Genomic DNA, 9,281 nt, shown 5'->3' with positions numbered 1-9,281 from the left:
ATGGACATCACCAGGGGCAACACTAAAACATGACAGATGCTACACAGGATCAAACTGCCTGGCTTGTGAGCACACACGAGACATACCCACAGGACTCCAGGAAGCGTGTGTGTAGATTTGACGGGCAGGGCAGAGCCGGAGAAACAAAGTGACTGCTTGGGCTAGGGTGGCCTGCAGACATCTGAGTGACCTGCACCAAAAAGCCTAGAGGAAAACCTGTCGAAATACTAACAGTGGAAGAGGGAGGAACAAAGGGATTCTGGGCTCCAGAGTAGACAGATGACCTTAGCAGAACCCCTTAGAGATGGTAAATGGGGCGGGGGCGGGGAGGGGGTGTGCTGTCATGTGCAGCAAGAGTCCCTGAGTAGACTGCCATCCCCCTGCAAATAATGACTAGCGACAACCTCATGCCTTCCTCAATTCCCGCTGAGTTCCCAGCGTGAACCAGTTACTGCCCTAGAAACAAGAAGATGCAACCCCCCCAGGACCTCCCAGCCCAACACCACCGCCACCCTCTCACTCTGTGCTGCAGTCACTCGGCTTTCTTCCAGCTCCCAGCCACCTCAGGGACTTCACACGTGTGGTCCCTTCTGCCAAGAACACCCTTCCTTCCCCTCCTCCTGATTCACTTGACTCACGGTTCAGGTCTCAGCCCACACAATGTCCCCTCCTCCACATGGAGCTCATCTCAACCCCCAACCCCATCGGTCCCATGGTTTTCTGTGCTCAGCACTCCCTGATTTTTCCCTTCACTGCATGTCTTAGTTTATAATTTTAGATGTAAGTCATCTGATGGGCTGATGTCTAGCTCCCTAGCTAGACTGTGAGCTTCATGGGGGGAGGGGCTGGGCGTGGGCTCTGCACTGTGGCACCAGGGTCCAGCATGGGTGCCCAAGGCAGACACTAGGCAAATATTTGCTGGATGGATGGATGGATGGATGGATGGATGGATGGATGGATGGATGAGTGGGTGCGTGGATGGATAGGTGGGTAGGTGGGTGGATAAATGGATAGGTGGGTGGATAGTTAAATGAAGTATAAAATAACATGTTATGATGGGAAACAGTGAAAAGTTTAGTTGTCAGGAAGGAAGAGTGTTCAAAATGACCCTGGAGGGGAAGGAAGAGGCAGACGGAGCGGCCGCTGGTAAGTCACACCAAAAGCAATGATGAGTCACTGATGGAGTCCCAAGTAAAAGATGAAGGGGGTTAGTTCAGCACTGGGGGCAGAGGGGAGGTGACATCCAGGGGACAGCAAGAAGGAGACATAGACTACAAGTCTCTGGTGTCTATCCATCTTCTAGACCTTCAAGCCGGCCCACCTACCTCATGCCAGGCCACCTGTGCACTGCAGACCCCCAAGCTGCCATGCCCTTCCCAACCCCACCTTGCACCTGTGCTGATGCCAGCTCTTGACTCTACGTTGGGCCCCGGTGCTCCCTGGGAAGCTGGCACAGGGCTCCTGGCTCTGCCTATGGGGTCTGGGCCTGGACTCCCTGTCAAAGTCTCTGGTGAATGCCCTGGCCAGGTCCCTGCCTATAGAAGCCATGGAGGCCAGGACCTAGTGGAGACTGAAGAAGAGAAACCTCTCTGCTCCTCATACTTGTGTCAGAGAAGGCCCTGCCTCCTAAACACGCCCTGGGCCAGGAGCCTGGAGACCTGGCTTTCCCTGCCACCGGGCCCTCCGGAGCACCTGAAAGCACACCGGTAGAAGAACCAGAGCTAGAAGGAAGCTGTCTGAGTCTTCAGTGGCCACCGTGACAACATGTCACAGACCGGGAGGCCTAAACAGTAGAAATGAATTTTGCCACAGTGCTGGAAGCTGAAAGCCCGAGATCAAGGTGTCAGCAGGGTTGGGGTCCTCTGAGACCCTGTTCCTCGGCTTGTCGTTGGCCATCTTCTCACTGTATCTTCACTTGGTCTTTCCTCTGTGCGTGTCCGTGTTCCAATTTCCTCTTCTTCTAAGGACACCAGTTTTACTGGATAAGGACCCACCCCAGTGACCTCATTTTAATGTAATGACCTCTTTAAAGACTGTATCTCCAAATACAGTTACATTCTGAGGAACTAGGGGTTAGGGCTTCAACATATGAATGTGGAGTGTGGGGAGGGACATAATTCAACCCCTAACAGAAGCCCAGGGCTCAACAAGAAAAGCTTTTCCTACTCCCCACAATACAGGCTGGACCCCAACTCTGACACTGAAGGTAAAGAAGGCAACGGCAATCTGGACAGGCTTTCCCTGGAAACACAACAGGGGGCATCCCCAGCCCGTTAGCCCTCCCCACTTCAACCCCGAGGGACCCCGCTCCTCCCAGTCTCCCGCTCTCAGATACCCCTGGAGGCTAATTGCTTGGCAGGAAAGTTGCAGAGGGCAAGAAAAGGCCTTGAGCAGGTTTGGAGCTCCTCTGAGATAGGGCGTCTCCAACCCAGAGCTTATCAGCATGCTGCTGGGTCAGGATCCAATAATTAGAATGACATTCCCAGAGCAATTTGGTCGGAGCGTTTGCCCTTCCATTCATGCCAGCCAGACGGGACCTCTGGTTTGCTGTTTCTGAAAAACAAGAAATTCCAGTAAGGGATTAATGACTTAATTATAAATGTGGCTTGGAAACGTAAAGGTTATTAAGAAGGGGAAAAGATACATGTTAATAAGAGACACGCTATTAAAAACAGAATAAAGATTCATTGTTGGTGCCGCCGTAAAGTTTTCCAAGTTCGGTAATAAAAACCACCTGGCCTGCGCGAGCGCTGGCTGCCATGGCGACAGAGCCCGCAGCACTGGAGCTATCTAATGAGGCCTGTCTCCCCATCTCTGATCATGCTCCCTTCGCTTCTTGGGCTCCCTGGTAAAAATGGCCAACGGGCCTCAAATTACCTCTGGAAGTTCTGGGCCTGTGCCCATTTGTCGGAAGAGCACAGTGAGGCTTTGGGAAGCCACCAGACATTGCCGGGCCCATAGGAGGACTCGGACATTTGGAGCACCTAAAGGCAAAGGCCCATCAGTGGGAGAACCGGAACATGGAACATGTTAGAGCTGGAAGGAAGCTGGGGGTTCCGGGAAGGACCTTTAGCCGTGGCAGGTCAAAGTCAGTGTCCTCCCACCCACAGGGATGAAGATGTAACCCTGTGCTCGGAACGCCACTACTGTGCCTGTGAACTTTGAATATTGGGATGGAGTTTTTCTACTTACCAGGGATTATACTCGGTGCTCTGTTCACATTGTTATTCAATCTGTACAACCAGCTTGTGAGGCATTATCATTTCTGCATTTCGCTGATGAAGACACAGAGGTTCAGAAAGATTAAGGCATGCACCCAAGGTCACAGAACTAACAAATGGCAGAGGTGGGATTAAAACCCAAGGCCAGGGCTCTTTTCACAGGAGGGTTGAGGAAGTCAAAGGAAATAAGCTTGCTTTTCCACTTAGACTAGAAGTTCCTTGAGGGCAAGGGCTGAGGTCTTCTGCCCCACCATCCTCAGACACAAAGCTCCAACCCAAGATGCTTCACAATGACCTGGGCCATAGAATTGACAAGTCAGTCTCCTCTATTAATGAACCAGCTGTGCCCACATTCCTCGCCCAGCCCCACCTGGCCACCTGCTGTCTTACTAGATGTGCCCAGGGAGCAGCCTGCCAGAGCTTCCTCGATGGCGAATTGTTCTGCTCCATCATTTGCAGGTTGATGGAGTGTGGGAAGAGTAGAGAGGGAAGGAGAAGCTCATCCCACCCACACCGTCTCTTCTGCCCTAAGTTCAACGATTCTTGTGTGTGTGTGTAAATGTCTGGGCTACATGAGAAAGTTTTTACATGTATATAATGCATAGCGATCAAGTCAGGGTGTATAGAGTGCCCATCACCCAGGTACATACATTAAGTAGAGTCATCCTACTCTGCTATCAAACATTGTATTTATTCCTTCTACCTTAATGTATGTTTGTACCCTTTAGCTCACTTTTCTTCATCCTCCCCACCCCCCACCCTCCCCAAGTTCAATGGTTCTTGAATCATTGAATTGAGGTGGAGTTGGCAGGTCCTGGCAGGCAGTAACAGCAGTCCTAGGTCTCAAGAGACTGGGCAGAATGTCCTGAGGGATGGATGTGGGGCAACTGGGTGATGGACACCCCTGAGAGTGTTGAAAGGCCCAGCCATGGGGGCAGGGAGCTGAAGCCAAGCTCTGCAACTGAGCCGGCCAGCTCCACAAGGAGTGAGTGCTCCTGCCCTGCTCACCACGGACCCTGTGCCTGGCACAGTGTAAATACTGGTGGAGTGGGCTGGGTATGGTGGCTCACACCTGTAATCCCAGCACTTTGGAAGACCGACGTGGGCAGATCACGAGGTCAGGAGTTCGAGACCAGCCTGGCCAACATGGGGAAACCCCATCTCTATTAAAAAATACAAAAAGAAAAAAAAAAAAGCCGGGCTTGGTGGCTTGCACCTATAATCCCAGCTAGTCAGGAGGCTGAGGCAGGATAATTGCTTGAACCCAGGAGGCAGAGGTTGTAGTGAGCCGAGGTCGTGCCACTGCACTCTATCCTGGATGACAGAGCAAGACTCCGTCTCAGAAAAAAAAGAAGAAAAAAAAATGAGGAGATGACAACACTTTGCTGTAATGAGTAGACATGTGTGCACATAAAGTACCTCGCACAGTTCCCTGGCATGGGATAGACACAAAAGATGATGGGCTCCATCTCACCTCCTCCAAGTAATCCAACACTGGCCTGCTCTTTCCAAACCAAACACCCTTATCCCTATTTGTGCTTGACCTCAGGTGTCATAATGTGCCTAGTGCCTCCTCCTCCACCCTCACCCCTCTCATGCCAGAACACATTCCTGAGGCCCTTAAAGGAACCACTCCTGAAGCTCCAATGAACTTTAACTTGGGACCTCGCTAGACTGCCCTGGCCTTGCCCAGCCACACCCAGCTTGCAGCACCTCCTGCTTCCTGGAGCACTGTGGCTAGGAGAAAGGAAGAGAAGGGAAAAGGAGGAAGAAGGGTGGGGGCTTCTAGGCACCACAAAGGAGCCTCTGAGAGGGAGAAACCAGTGTATGGGAGCTGGAATGGGCTAGATCTGAGTCTACGCTCTACTCCTTGCCAACTTCCTTTAAGCCTCAATTTTCTCATTTGCAAAATGGTGATAACTTCATTCGAAGGGTTGCTATGGAGATAAGAAAACGCTTGCAAGTTCTGACACATAGTAGGTACACAACCAATGTTCCCTAACTCTACTTTTGTTATTAAGTGTGCATTTTGCTTTCAATGGCATCTGATTGAGAGGACTTGGAAATGTTGTTTTGCTTTGTTTTGTCAATGGGGATTTTTAACGAAGACACTTTCAGCAGCCAGCACACTCCCACTCTAAATAGACTTCAGGTGTGACCTTGATCCCAGGAGGTTCTCAGTCCTACAAGGTGGGCCAGCACCTGTCCCCCAGGGCAGTGTCCTCTTGTCATCTGGCCAGCTTCAGACCAAAGCAGGTCAGCCCTTTCATCAGCTGCCTCCTAGGGAAGAGGGGTGCAGGCAGTGGGAGGGTTGGGGCAGCAGAATTGTGAGGGGAGAAGGCCTCCAGGGTTAGGGGTGGGAGCTGGGAGGTGAAAGTGCAGGGAAGGGAGCTGGGGGAGGGAGGAGGTGCATCTAAAATGGGGAAACTAATGAAGAAATCTCCATCTAATTAGACAGGCTGCAGTTTTAATCAGACAGAGTTTCCTTGGCAAAACCTGTTTGCATGTTTTCTGTCATTCAGCCAACGTGTTAATTAGGCAAATAATATTAATAATGATATTCACTTTGGGAAAGTTTGGAGAAGAGGGAAAGGTGGAAGTGACAGTTTGGAGTTGGACAGGCAGGAGCAGAGAGGGTGTTGTAATTCCCTGGCAGCCTGAGAGAGTGACAGGAAGGGGGCTGAGAGAGAGGAAAGCCATGGGCAGGGCCCCAGCCCTGTCCTACTGTCTGGGCATCTGCTCTTCTCCAAGCCTCAGTTTCCTCATCCGCGCAAGGCGAGAAGGATGACACAGAGCCCCTTCCTCCTAAGTTGTGGGAGAATGCCCTGAGATGACGCAGGAGCTGGGAAGGCCTACTGCAGCCCTGGCCCAGAGCTGACAGGAGGGCCTCTGCGCTTCCTGCACACACCGTCCACCCCAACCTGACCTGCACCTTGTCAGGGTCTAGGGTCCTCCCACACCAGCAGGGAGCAGAGCAGGCGTGAGGTGAGGTCCCCAAAAGCCCTACAGAAATCTCAGCCACCCACTGCTCCCCAATCTCAGGCTGGGCTCTGGCGTCCTTCCTGTCTGCTGAGCTCCAGGGACTGGGGGACAAAGAGGCTCCCACAGGTCCCTTTTGCCTCTGCCTCACAGCCCAGCCTCTCAAAAGCCAGCTTGCTCCCCTGACCCCTCCAGCATCCCAGGTCAGAGGGGTCTCTCAGACATTTGGAGCCAGTCCCCCCTGCACAGCTCCAGCCTGGGTTCCTCCTCCCTCCCTCCCCCCACACCCCACATCCCACAAAGCCAGAGGCCAAAGTACCCTCCTCAGCTCTTCAGTCCTCTCCAGCTCCCCACAGCACAGCTACCTGGAGGACACAGGCTCCCGGGCCAAGACTAAGGGAAAGCAAATGAGCGATTTCACTGGATATCGGGGCAATTCTCGGGAAAACCAAAAACTCACTAATTACGATGAATAATATCTCCAAGCAATATTTTAAAAGGTAAAATTTAATGCAAAATGTCTATTGCATTACTTTCAATTTTTACATATACTGCATTGAAATAATACTTATCTTGATTGCCAAGTTTTGATTGCACCCCCTTAAATGTTGTGCCCTGGGGCAAGTGCTTCATTCACCTCACCTGAACTAGCTCTGTTCCTCGACATTGGCCCTCAAGACCCTGGCTGAGGACAATCACGTGGCCTTTCTGAGCCTCAGTCTCCATCTCTCTGTCTGTCAGATGAGGCTGACAGGCCGCCCTGCAGGGCTGTATGGGTTGGAGGGGATGGTGCACCATGTCTAGCACAGCCCCTGATGTGACCGAGTGTCCTGTGGCAGCAGAGTGGGGCACCTGAAGGCCATGGCCTTCCCTGGGCTTGCTGCCTCCAGCCTGGGTACTGCTGAGTTCTGGGCCCGAGTGAGGAGAGGGGACAGGACAAGGCTAGGGACCCCAGCACCCAAGCTCCTGCCTTTACTGTGAGGAGAACCCTTCACTGAGGGAACTAAGGCTTTCCCAAGAACCCTGCCTCGTAGGACCTTAGCTGTTCCTGAGTCCCTGACACTGGGGGGCACTGTGGGCATGAGGGGCATTCCCCAGAGGTCCTGCCCTTGGAAAGCAAGAGATGAAGAAAGCGGACGTCCCCCAACCCCACTCAGACACACGTCCCATGAAGGGTGAGGGATGAGAGCACCTCTGAGTGGCACTAGAGTGGGGACCACACTGGAATGCTTTGGAATATGTCATGATTCAGTGGAAACAGAAACAGAAAGGGTGTCAGTGTCCAGAAACGTGGGCTTAAGTATTGATTCTTTGTCTAGCAGCAGGACAAGTAGCTGGAGAGATGGTCAGAGTCCGTGCATGGAGGGCCCCCTTTGCCAAGTGCAGGGGTCTGGGTCCCCCACTCCCTGTGGGCAGAGGCTGCCTCCAGTAGAGAGAAGAGACATGTTCTAGAGAGTGTTGGAAGGATGCTGCTGGCCACGGGCAGTGAGGCAGGTGCATGGGAGGGGATGGGGACAAGCAGCAGGGAGCACGGGCTGCCACATGGCTACTGAGAGTGACAAAAAAATCAAGACAGTGTCACCACTGCTGACCTCATGATCATACATCACAGAAGGAACCTTAGTAACCAGCCCAGGAACCTCCTTCCTCTCCATTACTTGGAGCCCCTCCATGACCTCCCAACCAATCTAAGCTTGGACACATCCTGTGATAGGGCACCCACCCCACTGATGCTGCCTGACCGTCAGGCAGCTTGGGCTCCTCTTTACTTTGGATTAAAATACTTCTAGTTGCAACACTTATCAATGCTCCCCGGTCTCTCATTCTGAAATGCATAGAAGTGCAGCCTCTGGCCCTCAGGGCTCTTTAGCCACCTGAAGCCAGCTGTCTTGAGCTCCTACATCTTCCCTCTCCAGGATCTGTGCCCGCCTCCCCCAGACAGGCCATCACAGACCTAATACTGCATCTGTGCATGCTCTCACTGAGCACCTACTGTGTGCCAGGCACCAAGGCTGGGCATCTTCTACCAGGGTGACTGTCATTTAATCCTCCCAGCAAGCTTGAGAGATCGGGCTCATTGCCCCCATTTTACAGGTGAGAAAACTAAAGCTCATAGTCATGAGAGGTACCCAAGCTTTCTCAGGAGGTTAGTCATCAAAAAGGCTAGAACTCAAGTGTTGATATAGTGCCCCACAGTCTTTTCGGAAGAAATCCCAGGTTTCTGCTCGGGGAGTTAGTTCTGTTGTGAGCCGTAACATACAGCAACTCAATCCTCACACAAGCCCTGTGAGGGGAGCTCTGTCATCCTGCCCATTCTGCGGAGAAGTCATGCAAATGATAAAACGTACAGCTCTCCAGGGTCTGCACTTCTACATCTGGGCAAGAAGAACCAGGCTATTCTGGCCCTTGCCGGACACCATCCACCATTCCAGAGACATAAAAAAATGCTGGCTTTAGTGTATTTACAGTGGAGCTAGCACCCCAACGATTAATACTTCCCACTCCCCTTAAAAATCCCCAGCCCATCTTTGCACTTCACCTTCAGGGAGAGGCTGGTGAGCCCTTTTAACCGCAGCCAGAAGGACTTGGCTGGTGTTCCTCACGCCCAGGGTCAGACATGCACACAGCACACCTCCCAGCCAGCCATGAATGAGGTGATTATGAGCTAAGAACCTTTGATTCCAGGACCCCAAGTGAGCACTGACCAGGGGTAACCCCAAAGGCAGCTCTTGAGGAAGGCATGGAAACTGCCTTACCTCCCCTTTGCAGCCACAAAAGAGCAGTTCTCTTTTGAATGGCCCCACACTCCTGCTTCTCCCCTTGCCTGCTGCCTTCAACCAGGCAGCTGGAATGCAGTCCTAGACCACAGAGGGTCGGGCTGGGGCCCTGCGTGTTGCAGAAAAGGAGAGAAGCCAAAAAATGGGATGGAATGTGCTCAAGGTCTCCTGAAGGTTTGGGGCAAGAAGGCCCATGTCAAAAACCCAGTCTCAGCTTCTCAGCTTCCCCTTGTCATTTCTCAGAGTCTGCAGAAGGGTTTTGTTTAGGGGTCCAGCCCCCCGGGCAGGCCACCGACCAGCCCAT

At 52.5% G+C, this 9,281-nt stretch overlaps 1 long non-coding RNA gene across 1 annotated transcript, besides 1 other annotated feature; it reads right to left on the bottom strand.

Annotated features, from left to right (window-relative positions):
- Nucleotides 1-642: an enhancer, noted in NCBI's record as "H3K4me1 hESC enhancer chr15:70135718-70136359 (GRCh37/hg19 assembly coordinates)". NCBI's record gives its function as "activates a minimal SCP1, AML or CMV promoter by ChIP-STARR-seq in naive H9 embryonic stem cells {active_cell/tissue: H9 hESC(naive)}" and the evidence as "EXISTENCE:reporter gene assay evidence [ECO:0000049][PMID:30033119]".
- LINC00593 (long intergenic non-protein coding RNA 593) lies at nt 1,054-8,787 on the bottom strand. Its single transcript, NR_026764.2, has 5 exons — nt 8,740-8,787; nt 6,520-6,593; nt 3,193-3,275; nt 2,336-2,553; nt 1,054-1,960 (listed from the first exon to the last, which is right to left on the bottom strand). It is a non-coding gene; the product is annotated as a long intergenic non-protein coding RNA 593 (long non-coding RNA).
- Between the last annotated feature and the right edge of the window lie 494 nt (nt 8,788-9,281).

Source organism: Homo sapiens, chromosome 15 (genome assembly GCF_000001405.40).
Source record: "Homo sapiens chromosome 15, GRCh38.p14 Primary Assembly".
Taxonomy (NCBI): domain Eukaryota; kingdom Metazoa; phylum Chordata; class Mammalia; order Primates; family Hominidae; genus Homo; species Homo sapiens.
This window is presented reverse-complemented; position numbering and strand designations above follow the sequence as displayed.